The sequence below is a fragment of the Homo sapiens genome, chromosome 14 (genome assembly GCF_000001405.40).
Source record: "Homo sapiens chromosome 14, GRCh38.p14 Primary Assembly".
In the NCBI taxonomy this organism is placed as follows: domain Eukaryota; kingdom Metazoa; phylum Chordata; class Mammalia; order Primates; family Hominidae; genus Homo; species Homo sapiens.
Window position 1 is genome coordinate 63,992,762 of NC_000014.9, and position 23,598 is coordinate 64,016,359.

Genomic DNA, 23,598 nt, shown 5'->3' on the forward strand with positions numbered 1-23,598 from the left:
TCCCAGCTATGAATAGCATACAGGGTAAAAGTGTGTCCCCAGGTCATAAATCTAGCAGTCCTCAAGGAGGCCTTGGAGGAGAGCCCTGGAGCTCAGCATTGTGCCTTACCTGCAGCCGGTCCATAAAAATGTGTAATGAGTGAATGAGCGAATTCCCACCCTGCTTAGCTTCTCCCGGAGTTATTCATCTTCTCTCTCCTGTAGGTTTTCTGCCTTTTTCACACACAGGCCCCGACCTGTTTTTTTGTTCTGTCATTCGCTAGTTACCTAGGCCAGGTTTCTGTTCCTGTAGAGTATGTCAGGTTAGGAGCAGACACATACCTGTCAGGGCTGTTCCCATTCTTGTGTACTGCTGGGGAGGAACTGCCAACATGAGTGGCCCTGGGCAAAACTTTGAAGTTGATGGTGAAACAAATTGGCCTCCTTTCAGCATAACTGCTTATGCACGATAGTTAACCTTTCTATAAATTTTGTCTTGGCCAGGCATGTGGCTCACACCTATAATCCCAGCATTTTGGGAGGTTGAGGTGGGAGGCTTGCTTGATCCCAGGAGTTTGAGGTTTCAGTGAATTGTGATTGTGCCACTGCACTTCAGCCTAGGTGACAGATCGCGATCCTATCTCAAAACAAAAAACAAAACGAAACAAAACTGTGATATACTCTTCATATTATATTGCTTCTGAAGTATGGTTGTCTGCTCAATACTTAAGAACTTTAGAGGAAACTTAGCCAGGGGCTCATTAACCCTGTACAGTGAACTTTATAATTACTTATCAATGGGGTAACAAAAATCATTTTGAATATCATAAAGGTATCTTAATCTGGGCCTTATGTGTAACTACATTTGAATAATAAATATTTTGGCACTCTTTTGAAAAGAATTTAAGAGATTTCAAAGGGCTAGCAACCTCGATTTACAAAGAGAAGTCTCCTATAAATCTTCAGATATTCTTCAGAGAGCACCTTCCCACTTTACCAGTTAAAGACATACCAAAATTAGCTTAGAGGATTTTGAGGATTTGGCAGTAGAATGAGGCTTTTATGATTTTGTTTGCAATTTTTTTTTTTTTTAGGAAGCACTAATAATTTCTAATACAAAAAGTCTGGCCAAGTATTTGAAAGCTGTTGAAGAACTAAAAAATAATGTAACTGAGGACATAAAGATGTCTTTAGAAGAAAAGAGTAGAGATGTCTGTGCCAAATGGGAGGTAAGAACATGCATATGTTTCTGAACTTACGTTTTTATATGTCTGATCCTGGGCTGTTGGTTGTCAGAGCCATTCCTGGGGTTTTCCTGTCTACGTTGTATCACCAGTGGGCTGGTCCCTGCAGGCTGAAGTCCCAGGGTTCATACAGAGTTTCATAGCGGAATAGGTCTAGGCTTTGGTGGCAGACAAACCTGGATTCAGCAGCTATGACCCTGGGCAAGGTACTTAACTTTTAGGAGCCTCCCTGATAAAAATGGGGTAACACCACCTACTGGGCAGAATTGATGCAAGGATTTATAGAAAGCATCTACCACTGAGATTATGTTCTGGTAATTAATGGCAATTAATATTAAATGATAATATTGAAATGTGTAATTAATGTGATAATTAAAATGTGTGTGTCTATATATCTATGTCTATGTAAGTGGATTGAATATGTACTGTTAAGGATCCTCCTAAAACTCATTTTAAAATAAACTTTATTACTTTAGAATAGTTTTAGATTTACGGAATTACTGTAAAGATGGTGCAGAGAGTTCCAGTGTACCCCACGCCCAGATTCCTCTGTTATCAGCATCTTACCTTAGTATAGTATCGTTGATACGATTACTGGGTCAATGTTAATACATTATTTTTTCTAGCAGTTTACCCTGACAGAGTGATACATTAGTATTAACTAAAGTTTGCACTTTATTTACCTTTTCACAGTTTTCCTCAGATGTTCTTTCTGTCTGTTCCAGAATCTTATCCAGGATATACATTACATTTACTTATGTCTCCTTGGGCTCAGTTATCTGTTTTGCATAGTTTCCCTCAGTCTGTAGCTTGTCTTTTCATTTTCTTAACAGTGCCTTTCACAGCTAAAATACATTTTTATTTGTTAGAAAAAAAAACCATGTTTATGAGCCTGGGATGTTTTAAAACATCTCCCCCCAAAATACATGGATGAATCAGAATGGCACTTAAGCTTTGTTTCTGTCCTTTTGTCACTACACATATATTTATTGTTACTATAAATACTTTTTTGTATATTTTGTTCTCATGGTTAATATATTCCTTTGATTTTTTTTGTAGTCTCTTCATCATGAACTGTCTTTATATGTTCAACAACTAAAAATAGATATTGAAAAAGGAAAGCTTAGTGACAATATTTTAAAACTTGAAAAGCAAATAAATAAAGAAAAGAAACTTATCCGTAGAGGAAGGACCAAGGGTCTCATCAAAGAACATGAGGTACAATAAAGTGTTTCCACTTAAATTTTGTCATCATTTTGGGGTTTATCTTAAATGGTTGTGTGTATCTTTAGCCTAGGATGAAAACTGTTCTGAAAATTACCCTAGCCCTCCTCTCCCCGGGGATGATCACTTCTTTGCTTCACACTCGCAGCAGAGCCTGTACTTCTTACTTTTTAGAAGTGAGAAAATTCGGCACTGAGTTAATATTTTATGATTTCCCTTGATGTGTCTCAGTGGCCCCTGTCCTCAGACTCTGGTCACAAATGTGTCAACTGTTACTAAAGTACCCACAGTTGGCTTTTGTCAGGACACAGTGTCCTCAGAAGCACAGCTTTTGAGAAAACGAGCAAATCAGGGTACAAAGCAGCTGGGGCAAATCTCATGATCTTTTTTTGGTCTCTATCCTATTTGATTGCTTTTATGTATTTGACATTCCTGACCCTTTTTTCATTTCTTTTTAAGTTTCTACTGTTGTGGCTCTCCCACTGTCAGTCTCTCTTGCTTTATATAATTCTATATCTATCCATCTATCTATCTATCTATCTATCTATCTATCTATCTAGATATATATAAACAGATATAGATGTAGATATGTAAATATATAGCGATATATAATTTGCAGTGAGTACTTTTTAGTGTCTTCACAAATATTCCTTTTTATTCTATTAATGTTTTGCTTTTGAAGAAGGGGTCTCCACCTCCACTTTTGGCTAATTCCGTGCTTCCCTTAGGCGATTTTATGCACTCTGGGGTTTGACCTGCCTTCTCTGCAATGATAGTGCGTCAATTTTTCTCTCCAGCTGAGTCCTTTCACCTGAATTCTATGTTCTATTTCTCACTGACTAGTAGATATCACCAGTGTTTTTCGGAGAACTCAAATTCAGCAAGCTCAAAACTGAACGAATAATATCTCCTCTCAAAGGTTCATTTTATATTCTGCCTACTGGTAATGAATGGCATTGCTGTCTCATGACGCCCTTCCTCTCCTTCCTCCCTTCCTTTCCACTCAGCCTTAATTAAATCTGTTGCCAAGCCCCATCTGGGATTCTTCAGAACAGCTTCTTCCTTCCCAGTGGTGTTGCCAGTTACCTAAGCCAGGGTTCTTTTCTCAGAATGATGATGGTTGCTTCATCTCATCTTCCGTACCAGCACCAGAGTTGTCCTTTTGAGCCACAAATCCTATGTCACCAGTTCCCCATACCCCCAGGACAATTCCAGGCATCTTAGAAGGCCACTTAGTTCCTTCACTGCCTGGTCCAGGAAACCCCTTTAGCATCCCTCCTGCTGTGCCGTGTACTCCAGCCCCACTGGAGTTCTGGTCCTTTGAGACACCTGGTGCTTTTCATTATCTTCGTGCTTTTCGTCCTCTTGGTGGTCCTTCTGCTAGAAATAACCTCTCTCCCCTTTTACTTGGAGAACTTGTCCTTATTTCTTCCACATATAGCTCAGATGCTTCCCTCTTGTGAGGCAAGCTTTCTCTGACTCCTTCAGGCGGGTAGGCTCTATCATAACACTTAGCACACTCTGTGCTGGTTCTTTGTCTGTCTAGGTTACTGAACCGGAAATTCCTTTAGAGCTGACTCTCTCATCTTTTTTTCTCTAGCGCCTATTGTCATAGCATGTAGATGGCCTATACAAGAACACATTGTTAAAACTACACACATCTGTTAGTTTCTAGTCCTTATGGAATAATCATGTAAACTCACCAGAAGCACATTTCCTGCTTTATTTCTTCAATTAGGCCTGCTTTTCTGAGGAAGGCTGCCTGTACCAGCTTAATCACCACATGGAAGTCCTGAGGGAGCTGTGTGAAGAGCTGCCTTCACAGAAGAGTCAACAAGAAGTGAAGAGACTACTCAAAGATTATGAACAAAAGATAGAAAGACTTCTGAAATGTGCTTCCGAGATTCATATGACACTGCAGCCCACAGCGGGAGGCACGTCGAAAAACGAGTTAGTACTTCATAAGAATAGCTACCCTTCAGGATAAAACGAAGCCTTTTGCACGATCAAATGACATTAAGCGTTAGTCATGCTTGTTTAGGTTTCATTTTTCTTACCCTCTTTTAAACATGCAATTTTGATTCCTTTCTAGGGGGACCATCACCACATCTGAGAATAGAGGAGGGGATCCCCACAGTGAGGCACCATTTGCAAAATCAGATAATCAGCCATCAACTGAAAAGGTGTTAAATGTGGATAATGTATTTTAGAAGTAAACCCAAAGTAAAAGACCAAGTGTACAATAATTCACTTCTCATTAATTAGGTGTTGGTTTTAATTATTCGATTGTTTTTATCAATGGAGAATTTCCACTTACACAATGCAAAAGACTGATTTTCAAAGGAGAATGCAACTAACCAAAGCTACAGTGAGCATAACCTAATCTTCTTCTGAGTATACAAATAGTTCTTTCAAGCAGAGACCCTTTTGAACCATTATGAATACTGATTATCTGTGTATATTGTTATTGAGGGTAGAAGAGGTTGAGCTTGATCTGTACAGATGTTTCCATTTCATTGAGATGAACAAGTTCATTTATCATTTGCCTTTTCTTCTGCTGCATTATAATGTATTTCATTTTCTGTGGGAATTGAATTTTCTAAATTCCTGAAGTCTAGATAATTTGGTATTTACTGTGTGTTACAGTCCAGACTGTCAATCAGATCATGTGGAGGAAGGAATGAGATGAGGTGGATTTGTTTTTAGAGGTCTGCTCCTGCATGGTAGGCTTCTGTCTACTTTTGACTATGGGTATGGAGTCTCAGGCAGAAATAGCATTTTGGGGCTGGGAGTCTTCCTTTACCATGCTGCCATACCAGTTAGAAGGTGAGACTCTCCTCTGTCCTACGGAAAGACTTTTCTCTGAGCTGAGACATCTCAAAGAAATTGTATTATCTCCTGGTTTGAGGTATAAAGAATCAATGATACATTTTTGAACATAAGCATTTATCTTTTCCAGATAAAAAGTATGTTTAAGATATTTCGTTTACTATTTTGCATATTCCCTTAGGCAATGGAACCCACTATGAAGTTTAGCCTGGCATCAGTGTTAAGGCCTCTGCAAGAAGAAAGCATTATGGAAAAGGATTACAGTGCATCTATAAATAGTTTACTAGAGAGGTAAACTCTTTTTAAAAACAACTGGAAAATCCACCAGAAGTCTTTCATCGATGCAAACATGTTAGACTTTTTAAAAGTTTTATTTTCATTTAGTCGTCATTTTGCATATGATCCAGTAACTTAGAAATTCTATGGTATTTTCTCACACGCAGTTGACAGTAATTTTAAAATATTTCTTTGTGTTATTTTATTTTTCTTATTTTTTTGTTTGTTTTTTGTTTATCTTTGTGTTATTTTATTTTTAATATTTTAGGACAGAGTGTCGTTCTGTCGCCCAGGCTGGAGTGCAGTGGCGCCATCTTGGCTTGCTGCAGCCTCCGCCTCCCAGGATCAAGTGATTCTCCTGCCTCAGCCTCCTGAGTAGCTGAGATTATAGACACCCGCCACCATGCCCAGCTAATTTTTTGTAGTTTTAGTAGAGATGAGGTTTCGCCATGTTGGCCAGGCTGGTCTCAAACTCCTGACCTCAGGCAATCCACCCGCCTTGGCCTCCCAAAGTGCTAGGATTACAGGTGTGAGCCACTGCGCTTGGCCTGTGTTATTTTAAAAATTAACTATTGTGATGTTGCATTTCATTTTGCCCAGGTATGATACATACAGAGATATTCTTGAACACCACCTGCAAAACAACAAATTCAGGATTACTTCTGATTTCTCTAGTGAAGAGGACAGGAGTAGTTCTTGTCTGCAGGCTAAACTGACAGATCTACAGGTAATTACCAAAAATATTATTTCTCTGATTATCTTGTTTATTAGAAAATAGTACCACTGTGAGTCTGGACATCCCCTTTTCTGTTGAGGTCACATATGCTAAATGTTTCCAAAGAACTCTCTTTGCTGGATTGCATTTCTAGTGTCACCCTAGTCCATAAAGTGATTTTCTTTCAGGTACCAACCCCAGGAAAGGCTTTGGTTTAGGGTCTTAATTTACTGCTTATACTCTAATCTGGTACTCCAGATATTGTGGCTTGAATAGTTTTTGTTTATTTCTTTCTTTTTATGCTTCAGGCTTCAAGGGAATTGATCAAAAACAATGTGTTTGAAGGGAATTTCATCCTGCTCCTGGGTTGCTCCAAAGTCAACCAGCCAGTGACTCTGAATGTTTGTTTCAGTCCTTCATCATCTTTACCAAATTATCACATTGTCTAAAATTGCTGTACAGTGATTGCTGACTGTCTGATGTTGGGCATTTAGGGCACTGGAGGGAGTTTTCACTCTAAATGATGGATTCTCCTCCTAAAAAGCCTTCAGTGGAAGTTATTGCAGTTGACTCAGAAACAACAGAAAGAAGCAATCTATTAGTGGTTGGCACACAAATCACAACTTCTACAAATAATATCTTTCCTATTAAAGATGATCTGTGCATTGCAGTGCATCATTCTTGATGCACGCCCTGAGTGCATTAGAGGGAACCCTCACAGATGGAGGGCCATAGGTAGTTCCTACAACATCCTTCCATGTTTTCTAGTTTCTTTTATCTTATTATACCAGGTCTCAGTCACTCCACCATCTGGCTGCTCTCCATTTTTCATCTGAATAAGCAAAATTTATATGTTAAAATCCCTGTTGCTCAAGTGATGGATTTAGCATGTTTTCATCACAATTAAGCAACTGTCTTGAGACGTTTCTCCAGTGACCGAATAATGAGTTGGTTAGAAAAACTATACTAATCTTTGGGTAAAGTGAAGAACAAATTATACTGCTGATTGCTGATCTGTCAGTAGTATTGTATAGCAGTGCCTTACCAAAAAAAGCATCAAGATAAGGAGCTGGAATAGTATAGAATTATAGATGTTAATTATAAACCATAAATTAATTTAAGTTACTTCTTATTTATGTAGAAACAGTTTTGGTTCACTTCAGTTTTCTTTTAGTTTAGAAGGTAAGAAAGATTTCCTATCCAGAGAAAACAGAATATCTGTTCTTACATGTATGTATTTTTCTGAATTGTATTCTATGTAATTACCTTAGGGGAAGGGAGTTTGGGTACCTTTGAAAGCTGCCTTGTCGACTCCCTTGACTTTACTGAATGGGTCCTCTGAGAGCACAGTTAATGTCCTTGTTCCCTAAAGGATAGTTCACTTGTAGGTGGTTGGAAAGTATTTTTAAACACATTTACATATGAAACATTGTGTTTGCTTCCACAGTTGGTGAATGTCTCATGTTTTAAGAACAGAATAATTGTGTCTATTAACCCCATTAGTTGATAAATTAATTTATGTGTTCCATCTAGGTCATAAAAAATGAAACTGATGCTCGCTGGAAAGAGTTTGAAATTATTTCATTGAAGTTAGAAAATCATGTGAATGACATAAAAAAGCCTTTTGTAATTAAGGAAAGAGACACACTAAAGGAAAGAGAAAGAGAGCTTCAGATGACTCTTAATACCAGGTAAAATTCTGAGATCTATTAACTATGAATCTAATAAACTCACTAAATCCTGTAATGCCATTTTAAGCAAGATTCTTGCTATACTAAGTATGTTATTTTATTTGGATGTCACAACAACAGTAAGAGAGGCTACCATTATGATTGCATTTTGCTGATAAGGAAACTGATACTCAGAGAGGTTAAATATTAATAATATAACCAGGCCACACTGCTAGCTAGAAACTTAGTAGAACTTAAGGTCTGCCAAAGTTCAGAGGCCACACAGTCTTTCCACTGTCTCTTTTGGGCATGAATTCGACCAAGTCACATAAACTCTATGGGCATTGATCTCTTCATTTCTGAAATGAGAGTGTTATTAGGACCTTGTATACATAGGTTGTGTATCCCCAGCATATATTCCTATATTGATAGGAAAAAACTGAGGCTCAGAGTCTATATATTACTTACCTATGGTCACACATTTCAATTTATTATCAGTAGTGCCTATTCTTTGGACCCCATTATATTTGTAATATGGAAATATAACAAATTATTCAATAATTAAAATAATTATGAGGTTTCTTAGTTGTCAAGGTGAAGTTAAGTTACAATTCTGTTTTTATTTCAAAAGAGAAAGGCTTAGTATGTTTTACAACAATTTTCCATTCAGTGTGGTATATATTACACTGCTAAGAATACTTTGGGGCCAGGCACTGTGGCTCCTGCCCATAATCCCAGCACTTTGGGAGGCCAAGGCAGGCGGATCACTTGAGGTCAGGAGTTCGAGACCAGCCTGGTCAACATGGTGAAACACTGTCTGTACTAAAAATACAAAAAGAAGAAAAAAAGAATACTTGGATATTGGGATGCTTTTTGGAGTGAAAGGAGAAATCATTAATGATACCAAAACAGCTGGAGTTGTCTGGCCCAGTGGGTCATGGTTAACCTAGCTCTGCTGCCTCTTACTAAATAAATGTATGTTGAATGAATGAATGAATAAATGGATAGATGGATGAACAAATAAAAGAATACTTGGATATAGCAACCAATTCATTCTTTGGCATTTTGAATCGATGGGTTTAGGTATTAATGTGATAATGTGTATGTATATATCATTGTATGTCTGTTTATTGGATAATTATTTTCTGTTCTTAGTTCAGTAATTGTGTTAATCAGTTTCATAGGATATCTTTCTGCTGTGTTTTCCCCTCATGTCTGATTTACCTTGCACCCAGAATGGAATCTTTAGAGACAGCACTGCGGCTTGTGTTACCTGTAGAGAAGGCATCACTTCTTCTCTGTGGCTCGGACCTGCCTCTCCATAAAATGGCCATCCAGGGATTTCATCTCATTGATGCTGATCGCATCTATCAACACCTAAGGGTAAGTATATAAGTTCTCACAGTGTATTTACAGAATAATCGAGTCTTTTGAGATTTATAAATCCTTATGGATTTTTAATTATTCATGATAGCATAGATTAAGAGTATAAGCCATGACAGTTTTTTTTTCAGTAATTTAGACTTGTTTTTTATTTCTTAACTCTTTAATTCCTTGCAAATTTGGAGGTGGGCACCGTGGAGTGCATAGTGAGGTATTTTCTTTGAATTCAAAATGAAGCCTTGTTTATGAATGCCTTCTTCAGTGACTGAATTCCTAAATATACGAGACTCATGCTTAAATGCCGTATTCTACCGTTTTCTTATTCTAAATCCCATCTTAACTAAAAATATTTGTTCATTTTTCAGATTATAAAATTGTTCTCTGAACAGTTTAACATCTAATTATGTACTTTGAAGCAATAGATTTATGTGCTTGTTTTCTTTTTGGGATTGAAACATGAGCTGGCACATTGATCATTTGTAATTAAAATGTTTCCTTAGGTAGAAACTGTCACCTTTTGTTAAACTCAAAAGCATTTTTCTAGATCAAATCTAGTCATGCAGTTTGGGGCTAGTTTCTCACATGTAGCCTTTCTTTTTTCCACCTCAGTGTTTTAGCTTTTCTTATCTTTATTTTAGAATATCCAAGATTCCATAGCAAAACAGATTGAAATATGTAACCGCTTAGAAGAGCCAGGCAACTTTGTATTAAAGGAGTTACACCCATTTGATCTACACGCAATGCAGAATATTATACTGAAATACAAAACACAATTTGAAGGAATGAACCACAGGGTGCAGAGGAGTGAAGATACTCTCAAAGCTCTGGAAGACTTTTTGGCGTCTCTCAGAACAGCTAAACTCTCTGCTGAGCCCGTTACAGACCTTTCAGCCTCAGATACACAGGTGGCACAAGAAAATACGTTGACAGTAAAAAATAAAGAGGGAGAAATTCATCTGATGAAAGACAAGGCCAAACATTTGGATAAATGTTTGAAGATGCTCGATATGAGCTTTAAAGATGCTGAACGGGGTGATGACACCTCCTGTGAAAACCTGCTTGATGCTTTTTCAATAAAGTTATCTGAGACACATGGCTATGGGGTACAGGAGGAATTCACTGAGGAAAACAAATTACTAGAGGCTTGTATTTTCAAAAATAATGAACTCCTTAAAAATATTCAAGATGTGCAGAGTCAAATCAGTAAAATTGGTCTTAAGGATCCTACTGTTCCAGCTGTGAAACATCGGTAAGTATTGTCCATCCATTTCCATCCAAGGTGACTGACATCTTTCTGTATTTTCACTTCTGTTAGGTGAAAGAAATTCTTCCTATGTCTTTCTGCTTCTATTCCATCCCACTCTATTCAGTGTTCAGCATTCTTTTCTGTAGACTTTTCAAGCAAACTTCCTTTTTGTTGGTATTGTACCTGTACAAAACGTTGCATAATTTTTTTCCTCTTTAAAGTGTATCTTATGGATGAAGGAGTGGTGAAGTCAGATGTACATAAAGTACTGTACATGAGTTACTTCCGATTCCCTTGTCCTTCTGTGTGTTTACTGTGGAGTTCTCCTCAGGACAGATGACTGGCAGACTCCACGCTGTGATATTAATGAAACCAGTGGTGGAAGATGCATATGCCACATCTTGTCCCTGCTTCTTCCTTAGTTATTTGGTCCCCTCCTCCTCCCAGCAGGATTAGGGTAGGAACTGAGTGGAAGGGCAGGAGACTGAATTTAAGAGGCAATCTAAAGTTAGTGTTGATTCTGGAGATGGAACAGAGTTGCAGTAGACTGAGGTTGGCAGCCTTCTGTATACCTGCTGCCATTTTAATTCCAGCATTTGGAATAGGGCCTTCAGATTCCAAAAGCTAAAATGTTAGCAACAGTCGCTTTTGTGGAATTCTTTCCCCCTCACCTCCCCTCCCTTCTCCTCCCCTGTCCTCTCCTCTTTTCCTTCCTTTCGACAGAGTCTTGCTCTGTCAACAGGCTGGAGTTCAGTGGTGCGATCTTGGCTCACTGCAACCTCCGCCTCCTGGGTTCAAGCGATTCCCCTGCCTCAGCTTCCCGAGTAGCTGGGACTACAGGCGCATGCCACCATGCCTGGCTAATTTTTTTTTTTTTTTTTGTATTTTAGTAGAGACGGGTTTTCACCATATTGGCCAGGATGGTCTTAATCTCTCGACCTCGTGATCCACCTGCCTTGGCCTCCTAAAGTGCTGGGATTACAGGTGTGAGCCACCGTTGTTTTTTTGTTTGTTTGTTTTTGAGACAGAGTCTTGCTCTGTTGCCCAGGCTTGGGTGCAGTGGCATGATCTCGGCTCGCTGCAACCTCTGCCTCCCAGGTTTAGGCGATTCTTCTACCTCAGCCCCCCAGTAGCTGGGATTACAGGCACGCGCCACCACGCCTGGCTAATTTTTGTATTTCTAGTAGAGACGGGGTTTCACCATGTTGACCAGGCTGGTCTTGAACTCCTCACCTCAGGTCATCCACCCGCTTTAACCTCCCAAAGTGTTGGGATTACAGGCGTGAGCCACCGCGCCTGGCCTCTTCCCCCCTTTCTAAATCTGTCTCACTTTCTGTCTCCTTCTCTGCCCACCTTGAGTTCCGCAGGCTCAGTGGTCTCTTGAGGGTCTTTAGATGACCAAGCCCTCAGTGTAGCCAAGTGTGCCTTTCCCTCTGAAATGCTCACACCCTCAGGCTCAATGATACTTTCATTCTTAGGGTATCCCACCACGGCATGCGATTGCACCACTGCCCTCCATCCTGGATGACACAGCAAGACCCTCTCTCAAAGAAGAGAAAGAAAGAAAAAGAAATTCTATGTAAGGAAGGAGGAGGGGATTGCTATTGAACAGGGTAATCAGGGAAGGCCTCACTGAGAAGGTGGCCTTGGCATCAGATGAGAGGCAAGAGCAAGCCACTTGAACCTGGAGAAATAGCCTTCTAGGCAGAGGCAGCAGTAGGTACAAGGGTCGGGTGTGTTTGAGGAAAGGCAAGGAGGTGAGAAGGTGCAGCAGTGAGGGGGAGATGTAGCTTAGCTCATGCAGGAACTTTTAGGCTGTTTGATGACTTTGGCTTGTTCTTCAAGTGACATGGGAAGTCATTGCAGGGTTCTAAGCAGAGGGAAATGTCTTGGTTTTCATCATAACCTTTTGTCTCTGACTAATGTGTTGAAAATAGACTGTAGGAGTTGAGAGAAGACATGGGAAGTCTGGTTTGACCTATTGTAGTAATCCCTGGTAGGGATGAAGCTGGCATGGACCAGTGGTAATGTGGTAGAAAGTGTTGAGATTCTGTATATAGTTTGAAGATAGAGACCAGATGATTTATTGACACATGGACATGGGGTGTAAAAGAGATATTGGGGTCAAGAATGCTTCCAAGCATTGGAACCTTCCTCTGGGTTCAAGTGCTCTTGGCTTTCATTGTCCATTGTGTCAGTGGTAACTTGAACAGTGAGTAAGAACCGAGTTACCATTAACTGAGATGAAAAAGACTAAAGTTTATCAGTGTTGGATGAAATGTATCAGTATTGAATGAAAGATTAGGTGTGCTCAGTTTTAGAAATGATATATTCAAGATACTTATTAGACATTCAAGCAGCAATATCAATAAGACACTTAAAAATACATGGCATTAGGAATCAGGAGAGAGGTCTGGGCTTGAGGTATATATTTGAGAGTTTTCATCATTTTACAAGGCTGTTTAAAGCTATGAGACTGGATGAAATTTCTGAGGAGAGTGAGTTTAGATAAACAAGAGAAGAGGTCCAAGTTGGATCCATACTCAGGGGCACTCCTTATTGAGAGATCAGGAAGATGAGGGGGAACTAGCCGAAGAAACTGAGAAGGGAGAGGCCAGTACAGTAGGATGAAAATCAAGAGACTTCTGGGGTTACCTGAAGAAGGCATCTCAACAAAGAGGAAGTGACCAAATGTGCTGACTAGTGAAGCGAAGTGAAGATTGAGAGTGGAACAGGGATTTTGCAATGTGGAGGCCAGCTGTTTCAGTAGGCAGTAGAGAATGAAAACCTTATGGGAGTGAATTGAAGAGAAAATTGGAGGCTAGGAAGTAGAGGCTGTGAGCAGTTTAGCAATTTAGATTTAGGTGAATGGTGTTAATCCTTCCAGTATTACTTTATCCTTAAATAACTCCTTTTTGATAGGGAGAGCTTTTTGTACATAACGGAGAAATGAAAGATTTCCTTTGTCTTTTCCTTCCTCCTTGGCCGCCCCATCCCTCCTTAGGATCCTGCAGTTCTTGGTCATTCACCTTCTCCTCTTCTCCTATATCATGCTGTCTTCCCCCTACATAAGCACACGTATGCGCTTTGTCTCTCTCTCTTTTCTCTCGTGTGTATACACCTTTTACAAGTGTGTTCATCATAGACATATGTTAATGCTAATGTTTTTGTATATTTATTATATTTATTTAAAGCACCAAATTAATATTCTGGAAATGCAGCCAGGCACGGTAGCTCACACCTGTAATCCCAGCACTTTGGGAAGCTGAGCCAGGGAGATTGCTTGAGTCCAGGAGTTTGAGACAAGTCTGGGCAACATAGTGAGACCCCATCTCTACAAAAAAAGAAAAATTAGCCAGGCGTGGTGGTTCGCACGTGTGGTACCAGCTGTTCGGGAGACTGAGGTGGGAGGATCACTTGAGCCTGGGAGGTTGAGGCTGCAGTGAGCTGAGATTGCGCCACTGCACTCAGCGTAGGTGACAGAGTGAGACCCTGTTTCCAGCAAAACAAAATAAGACAAAACAAAACAAAACAAAAATCAGAAAAATTCTGGAAATGCAAAGAGCCTCCTGAACTCTGTAACAGGAATGTGTAATTTTGGCATTAACCACATGAGGACAAATTAAAGTTAGTGTGCCTCCCCAAGTTACCCATATTTGTGTTGAATCAATGGTTAACAGTTGGCTATCAAACTTTTTTCTCATTCATAATCAAGGAAAAAATCATTAATCAGACTGGATAAGGTTCTAGATGAATATGAAGAAGAGAAGAGACATTTACAAGAAATGGCTAATTCTCTTCCACACTTCAAAGATGGCAGAGAAAAAACCGTGAATCAACAGTGCCAAAATACAGTAGTCTTGTGGGAGAATACCAAAGCCTTGGTCACCGAATGGTAAGGAAAAAAAAGAATCCCTCTTGAATCTGAAAAATTGTCTGTAGCACAATTAACTTTTTCAAACTTCTGGGTTGAAAACACATCTCCGTGGACCCAAAGGAGGGACAAACATAAGGATTTCCTGCTGGAGTTCACAGGGCCAGTGTCTGGGACAAGACCTAGAATTGTAGATTATAGCCAGAATGCAGCAAAGAGGTTCTCCACGAAGCATAACACATACACAGTACAGTCCGTTTATGCTCATTACCATCCCAACTGGGGTGGTTTCCTATTGCTGTAAATCACCAAGCAAATCACCACGAACTTAGTGGCTTAAAAAGAACACGGATTTATTACCTTATGCTTCTGGAGGTCAGAAGTGGTAAAATAGGCTGCGTGAGGTGGCTCACACCTGTAATCCCAGCACTTTGTGAGGCTGAAGTGAGAGGATTGCTTGAGCCTATGTGTTTGAGACCAGCCTGGCCAACATGGTGAAACCCCATCTCTACAAAATATAAAAAAATTGGCCGGACACAGTTCTCATGCCTGTAATCCCAGCACTTTGGGAGGCTGGGGTGGCCGGATCACCTGAGGTCAGGAGTTCGAGACCAGCCTGGCCAACATGGCAAAACCCCATCTCTAAAAAACATAAAAAAAGTAACCTGCATGCTGGCATGTGCCTATAGTCCCAGCTACTCAGGAGGCTGAGGTGGGAACATCACTTGAGCCTGGGAGGTTGAGGTTTCAGTGAACCGAGATAGCACCACCGTACTTCAGAGTGAGACCCTGTCTCGAAAAAAAAAGAAAATCAAGCTGTGTTCCTTCTGGAGGCTCTAGGCAAGATTCATTTCCTTGCCTTTTCCAATTCTAGAGGCCTCCTGCTACATTCCTTTGCCTGTGTCACCCTCCTCCATTTTTAAAGTAGCAGCACAGGATCTTCAGATCTCTCTCTGCCCTCTGTTCTGTCATCATGTCTCCTTTGACACCTCTCCCTGCCTCCCTCTCAAGAGGACCCTTATGATTACACCAGGCCCACACGGGCAATCCTGGATAATCTCTGTAGTTTAAGATCCTTAGCTTAATCACCTCTGCAAAGTCCCTTTTGCCTTGTGAGGTAACATGTAAGGTAACATTCACAAGATCCAGGGATTAGGCCCAGGACATCTTTGGGAATTGGGAGCATTACTTTACCACACGCCCCTACCTGAATGGGAGATGTTGCCTGTCAATAACGGCTGCGTTTCCTGCAGAGTTGGGGCTAGTTGCAAAAATTTTTGAAACTGTGAAGACCATTACCTATCAGTCCCAGTTGGCAATTCTTATTTTTTAAAAATATTTGATATTATTTATTAATTTGCCAGACTGCTTTGGAGGGATTCAGTTTTTTATATATGATTGCTTGTGTGTCCAGTTGTCCATTCCATGGAATATCCTCTGTCCATCCCTCTTACTATCTACATGAGGGTGGGGAGTGGTGGAATGGGTTATCCCTACAGGCTGAACTGCCCAGGCTGAGGGTTCCAGCAGGGTTAGGCAGTGGGGGGTATTAGAGGGGAAGAAGAGAGGCCAGGGTGGTCTCACCATCCCGCTTTGTTTCCGCATGTGGTTCTGACACCACCTGACGGCACCATCCTGTGTGGCTTGGGGCATCTCCCCAGCTTTCTCCTAGAGGCTGAGTGGCATGACCTATTTGCGGGGGTTAATCCCTGTGTGCCTCGGCCTCCCTGGCAGTTTCCCCTGATTCTGCTCTCAGAATTCTGATTCTCTCTTCAGAATTCCATTTGGGTACACCTCCTGTTTCCTACCGGAACCTGAGTGTACAGGAGTCAAGATGAACCCTGTATGTGGTATTTGATCTAGTCTACCCTCTGATTTTACTGAGGAAAGAATTGAGATTCAAAGAGGCTAAAGTAACTTATCCAGAGTCTCAGACTAAGCAGTGCCCACATGTAGTAGAAACCAGGTGTCCTAACTGCCACATTGTCTCACTACCTTAACGTTTTAAAAAAGACTAAATCCAGAATGAATAGAATAGATATATAAAAGGCCAGGCACAGTGGCTCACACCTATATATAATCCCAGCACTTTGGGAGGCCAAGGCAGGTGGATCACCTGAGGTCAGGAGTTCACGACCAGCCCGGCCAACATGATGAAACCCCTTCTCTACTAAAAATACAAAAATTAGCCAGGCATGGTGGCACTTGCCTGTAATCCTAGCTACTTGGGAGGCTGAAGCAGGAGAATTGCTTGAATCCAGGAGGCGGACGTTGCAGTGAGCCAGGATCACACCACTGCACTCTAGCTTGGGTGACAGAGCTAGACTCTGTCTCAAAAAAAAAAAAAAAAAAAAAAAAGAGAATAGATATATAAACACCCTGTGACTTGCTGAATTAATATTGAAATAATCTGCCAGAGTTATGTTAAAGGGGCTCTGTTTTCTGAGATGTCTTTTGGTTAATGATGAAATTGAGATGCTGATTCCTTAGGGTGATGAATCTTGTGTTTCTTTCTAGACCTTACATCTGGTAACTTTTTAATGTTCACCTAGTGACAGTACTAATCTAGAGATTATGCCATCTATTTGCCAGATATATTGATGTGCCATCATTCTTAGGTTAAATTGGTAAAAAGTATTAAGAACCACATCAAGAGGAAAAGTCCTTTACACCTTATTCATCATTTATGTGGGATACTTGCAAAGAGAAAGAACGGTTTTGCTATTTTTGGACATTTAGCTATTGTATATTTTTCTATTCTTAGTCTTGAACAATGTGGGAGAGTTTTGGAGCTCTTAAAACAATATCAGAATTTTAAAAGCATCTTGACAACTTTGATTCAAAAAGAAGAGAGTGTCATCTCCCTGCAGGCTTCGTACATGGGAAAGGAGAACCTGAAGAAAAGGATAGCAGAGGTGAGTCCAGGTTCCATTAGAAAAAACTGCCCAGTGACCTCACTGACAGGCCTGGTAGTAAAGAGATATTATAGATTAAGTCTTTTTTGAAACTTCGTTTAAAAGAAGTTACTAGTGACCCTATTTTACCAGGTATCTAAAAATTTGTTGTATTCATCACCAGGGCTGGAAAAAAGAAACAGTCACCAAGTTGATGGTGGGTCACTTCTGTTTGGGTTTTGATGCTGGGGCTGTGTTTCTGCTCACCCCTGCTGCCACCTCTGTGAGGTTGTAACAGCCTTTGCACTGACTTTCTGTTTACAAGGAACCTGACCCTTCATTGCAGGCTTGACAGAAGGAAGACGGTGGGAAAATCCTCTCTGTTGTTAGTAGAGTGAGGAAAAATTAGCTTTTATTTACTGATTTTCTGTGAAGATGTGCAAGCTTATTACCACTTTGCTCCATCTATGTTTATATTCTAAGAAGAGTAATATTTTTGGACACTAGGTGTCATTATTTTCTATGGTTTTATGTGGTTATCAACCAGAGTGGCAGAAGAATGGAATAGTTAGAAAAGAATATACTATACTGCACTATATGACTCTACACCAGAAAGTTTCTTTCTTCCCTCCCCTCCCCTCTCTGTGATTCTCCTGCCTCAGCCTTTCAAGTAGCTGGGAATACAGGTGCGCAACAACACGCCCAGCTAATTTTTGTATTTTTAGTAGAGACAGGGTTTCGCCGTGTTGGCCAGGCTGGTCTCAAACTCCTAACCTGAGGTGATCTGCCTGCCTCTGCTTCCCAAATTGCTGGGTTTATAGGCATGAGTCACCACGCCTGGCCTTTTTCTATTGATTTTACGAGTACTAAGCTAAAGTGCTGTCAGGGTGTTAAAAGTATGTGAAATGTAGTTTGCTTGATATACTTGGAGGTTGGAAAGCAATTTTATTAAACTTTCCAGTTGTCAAGAGCAGCATCAGTGAAAGCTTAAATAGGACAATTTAGTCCTTATCTAGAACTATTAACCCTGAAGCTCAAATGACACCCAGAGTGTCAGGAATGGCCCTTGTCTGGGACCCACTTTCTCAGACTTAGTTTCTTAGAGCTGGCCAGTCGGAAGCAGCCCTGTTTAGATACCAGCTGTACAGTATGTGACTGTGTAGCTGATTTCTTGTCAGACTTAATCAAAGTTGTCAAGACCATGAGCAGATAGTCACAGTTGCTTAGATGTAACCTGTCTGGTTCCCTCTGGTGGAGGCAGCTTTTGGATTTGGCTCATCTTGGGATCTAGAAGGGTCCTGTCCTCTTTCAGTAGATTTAAAGAGCTCTGGTTTCCTAGGTTCTTAGAGAATCCAGCATGTTCAGCCTTACCAGATCCTCTCGGGCTTGTGTCCCAGTTCGCATAGCCACCCTTCTGCCGTGTCCCCGATAGCAGTCTCCTACCTTGTACTCTTGTTTTAGGATCAAAGTCTCTGCCTTATTCAACAGACCTTGAGACCCTTCCTTGTATGCTGCCCAGATATCTAGTCCCTCTTGACTTGCAGCTTTTCTTGTTCATGCAAATCCTCCTCACTTCTGGCACCTTTCCTTAGCCCTGTTTTGATAAGTGTCAGTTATGATGCCCCATGCTGCGTGTGGCCTGTCTGCTGCTCTTCCCACTACCCCATAACTGTATAACCTTATAACTATAAACTATACTTTCTAGATAAGTTACTTATCTGACTAATAAACTTCTTCTTGTCACCTCCAGGGAGCTGACTCCATTCCTGGGTGAGTCTCCCTAATCGGAATCTAGGCCCAGGTCTTGGTCTTTCTGCCATCGTTAGCTCCTCTGTGGCTATCATAACTGGACCTCACCTCTGTCCTCAGCTGTATTTGGCAGCCCCAAGTCCAGAGCCTCCCCAGAAAGTCAATCTCTGTGGGTATGGAGGGATTCCATTCAATCGGGTGGAGGAGGGCCTGAGAGTCTAAATATGTTTCTCTTAAAAAATGTCATCCAGTCTTTCTGTTTGTGGCTGTGTTTCTGCCTTAATGATTACCTTGAAGTCATTTCTAGCCTTTTGAGTTTCTATGGCACAAATGGCCTTGCTTCTTATTGGCTTCTCTGCACCCTCCCCGCTACCTCGTCTCCTCCTAGACCAAGGTTTCAGCTTTAGTTTTGGTGAGTCAGTTACCACTCATTTTTCAGCTTTCCAGCTTCCCAACTTCTCACCTTCTACCTGAGAGTATTCTTATCCTCTATTCTCTGTGTGCTTGTTGGTTTGTACCATTTTAAATTCTTTTCTGTTATTAAAGTAGCATGTGGGGAGAAAACAGAGACAAACATATATATTTAATCCACCATGTTAAACTTGTTATTTAACTGTTTCAATCACTGCGTAAAACTGCCTGCCCTGAAGACATATTTGAAGTGTGTATATAGTAGAAATAAAAATTAATTAAAACTCTGCTTTGTCTGTACTCCTTACTCAACTGCAAAAGGTATTTTTAAAATTAATAAAATAATTATAACTACCTTTAAGAAGCAACAGTCCCAGCTTTCCTTATTTTATTAAAATGAGAATTGTACCTCTAGTATATGGGTACTTCATATGTTTCTTGAAATAATCTATTATTTTGTATGAAAGATATAGAAGTTTTAATACACTATTGTTTAATTCTTTGGTCAGGTTTTTAAAAAACTGTCTAAAAAAGCAGATTTTAGTACTAATTGTTAACATAACTTTCAGTTAATTTTGTGATGACATAGGTACTATCTTCACAAACAGTCCATTTCTGTAGCATGGATCTTTATCCTGCTTTGCAGCAGTGCCTGGAATATGATACCACTGAGAACTTTTGTCCTTCAAAACTGTAGTAACCTGGATGTTTATCTAGGATATGGTGACAAAGTTCTACTCTCTTTAATGAAAGACAGAAGTGCAAAAAGTTAGACTAGAAGGCTGGAATGTCAGGAGACTATTAAAGTTTGGAAATATCAAAGTGGGCCTAGTTCCCTTTATTTTACTCCTTCCATTCGCTGTAAAACAAAACCCATAGTTCTGCCAATGCTAAAAGTATACTCTCTTTTCTCATCATCCGGTGGAAGCTTGTGCTAGTTTAACAAGAAAGTTCTTTGCAGGCAAAAAAATTTAGTTTGTTCAAATAAATGAAGTATATCAATTAAATGAAAATTTTTAAATTTAATTGAACAAACATTTTTGCTTAAAAATTTTTTTCCTCATTAAATTTTTTTTTTTTTTTTGTATATTTAGGGAGTTACAAGTGCAAATTTCTTATATGCGTATATTGTGTAATGGTGGAGTCTGGGCTTTTAGTGGAACCTATCACCCAAATAGTGGACATTGTACCCAATAGGTAAATTTTCAGCCCTCACCCCACTCCCACTGTCTCACCTTTTATAGTCCCCAAGGCCTATTATTCCACTCCATGCGTCCGTGTGCCCCCATTGTTTAGCTCCCACTTATAAGTGAGACCATGCGGCATTTGACTTTCTGAGTTATTTCTCTTAGGATAATGGCTTCTAGTTCCACCTGTGTGGACAAACATTTATTGTGTTCCAGTGCAGAGTTCTGAACCAGGAGAACGAAGACCTGGGTTTTGATCTCAGCTCTGCCGATGTATCAGTCAGCATCTAGTTAGAAGACAAACCTCCCCAGTTATTGATTTTTCATTTTAAATATTTTATTTAATATTAATGTTTAAATTAGCCTTTATTTTGAGATAATGGTAAACTCACATATAAAAATAATACAAACAAATCCCAGGTATCCTGTATTGAGTTTCCCCAATGGTAAAACTATAGAATATTGCAATCAGGATGTTGACATCAATGCAGTCAAGATAAAGAACATTTTTGTCACCACAAGGATTCTTGTTATTGCCATTTTCTAGCCCCATCCACTTCCCTCCTCCTCCCACCCCTTCTAATCCCAGACAGCCACTAATATAGTCTCTATTTCTATAATTTTATTATTTTAAAAATGTTAAAAAATATTTTAAAAATTTTATAAATGAAATTATATAGTATGTAACTTTTTGGGATTGGCTATTTTCACATAGCATTATTCTGTGGAGATTCATTCAGGTTCTTCCATATATTGATAGTTTGTTCCTCTTTGTTGCTGAGCAGTATTCCATGGTATAAATGTGTCACAGTTTAACTATTCACCCACTGAAGGACATCTGGGTTCTTTCCAATTTTGGACTATTATGAATAAAGCTGCTGTAAACATTTGTAAAGGAGTCTTTGGTGAATATAAGTTTTTATTTCTCAGGGATGTGTCCAGGAGTGTGCTTGCTGGGTCATATGTTAATTGCATGGGTTTTTTTTGTTTGTTTGTTTGTTTTTGATGGAGTCTTGCTCTGTTGCCCAGGTTGGAGTGCCATGGCACGATCTCGGCTCACTGCAGCCTCCACCTCCTGGATTCAAGCAATTCTCCTATCTCAGACTCCTGAGTAGCTGGGACTACAGGTGCACGCCACTACACCCAACTAATTTGTTTGTATTTTTAGTAGAGACGGGATTTCACCATATTGGTCAGGCTGGTCTCGAACTCCTGACCTTGTGATCCACCTCGGCCTCCCAAAGTGCTGGGATTACAGGCGTGAGCCACCATGCCAGGCCTGCATGTTTATTTTTTAAGGAAACTGTCAAAATGTTTTTCAGAGCGGTTTTACCATTTTATATGCTTTTTCTGCATTAACTGACATGATTATATAATTTATTTCCATTAGCTTGTTAAAATGGTGGGTTACATTGATTGATTTTTGGATGTTAAACTAGCCTTGCATTCCTGGAATAAACCTTATTTGGTCATGGTGTATAATTCCTTATATATATATATATATATATATATATATATATATATATATATATACACACACACACACACACATATATAAATATATATATGTGTATATATGTATATAAATATATATGTATATATGTATATATATAAATATATATGTGTATATATGTATATATATATAACGTGTATATATATATATGTAGCTGAATTATATTTGCTAATATTTTATTAAGGATTTCTGTGTAAATATCCTTGAGAGATATTGTAGTTTCTTTTTTGGTACTGTAAAACTGGCTTTCATAAAATTAATTGGGAGTGTTTCTTTCTCTTCAGTTTTCCAGGAGAGATTGTACATAATTGCTGTTAAATCTCCTTTAGATGTTTGGTCAAATTCTCTAGTGAAACCATCTGGACCTGTAGATTTCTTTTTGGGGAGTTTCTACATTATTCATTCAATTTCTTTAGTATTAATAGGGCAATTCCCATTATGTATTTAATATTGGATGAGTTGCAGTAGTGTTTTTCAAAGTATCTGTCCATTTCCTCTAAGTTTTCAAATTTGTGTGTGTAAAGTTATTTGTAGCATTAACTTATTATCTGCTTGATGTCTGTAGTGTCTGTAGTGGTATCCCTATTTCATTCCTAGGACTGTATTGCTTTCTTCTGTCTTTGCTTTTGTCCGTCTTTCTAGAAGTTTATCAATTTTACTGATCTTTTAAAAGAACTAGCTCTTTATTTTATTGGTTTTTTTCCCCTAATGTTCTTGTATTTTCAACTTGATTGATTTCTGTTTTAATTTTTATTATTTCCTTCCTTTTGCTTGCTTTGGGTTTATTTTGTTCTTTTCTTAGATTCTTGAAGTGGTCATTTAGATTATCGATTTCAGACTTTTCCTCATTTTTAATGTATGCATTTAGTGCTATAAATTTCCCTCTCAGCAATACTTTGACTGTGCTATACAAGTTTTCATGTTTTATTTTCATTCTGTTTGATGTATTTAAAAATTTCTCTTGAGACTTCCTCTTTGACTGGTATTTAGAAGTATGTTGCTCAGTTTCCCAGTGATTGGAGATTTTCGTTTTGATAAAGTAGCATTTTTGCCTTTTATGTTAGAAATGATAAAGTTAGAATCCAAGATGTCTTAGAGTTCTGTTTATTTTATTCAGATAAGTGCTTAGGTTCTTTGATATTAAAAAGATGATTCTTATTAGGCAGATGTAGGGACTTTTTTTTTTAATGCCATTGAATGCAGATGCTTTTTTTGGCAGATAGAATCTTATTTCACATGGACAAGAAATATGGTTTTAGACCACTATAAAAATTTCATCATGCAGAGTGGGATGAAATTTGAGTATAGGGTTAACATTGAACCAATGGTTAGGATGCTAAAAACTTTTTATTGAGAAAGTGGGACGATAAAAACGTACTTTAAAAAAGAACAATGTAAGAAGGT

The 23,598-nt window shown here is 39.3% G+C and overlaps 1 protein-coding gene across 29 annotated transcripts in view; it reads left to right on the forward strand.

The window, feature by feature from the left end:
- SYNE2 (spectrin repeat containing nuclear envelope protein 2) overlaps positions 1-23,598 on the forward strand; it is a 464,854-nt gene that overhangs the window by 231,166 nt on the left and 210,090 nt on the right. For all 29 annotated transcript variants that reach the window (XM_047431152.1, XM_011536576.3, XM_047431149.1 and 26 more), the window contains 11 exons: positions 1,074-1,208; positions 2,283-2,441; positions 4,186-4,397; positions 4,540-4,630; positions 5,458-5,567; positions 6,153-6,279; positions 7,801-7,958; positions 9,173-9,320; positions 9,959-10,569; positions 14,282-14,461; positions 17,205-17,355. In XM_047431152.1, coding sequence (XP_047287108.1) covers positions 1,074-1,208; positions 2,283-2,441; positions 4,186-4,397; positions 4,540-4,630; positions 5,458-5,567; positions 6,153-6,279; positions 7,801-7,958; positions 9,173-9,320; positions 9,959-10,569; positions 14,282-14,461; positions 17,205-17,355 — 2,082 coding nt within the window. The remainder of the gene's footprint in view (positions 1-1,073; positions 1,209-2,282; positions 2,442-4,185; positions 4,398-4,539; positions 4,631-5,457; positions 5,568-6,152; positions 6,280-7,800; positions 7,959-9,172; positions 9,321-9,958; positions 10,570-14,281; positions 14,462-17,204; positions 17,356-23,598) is intronic.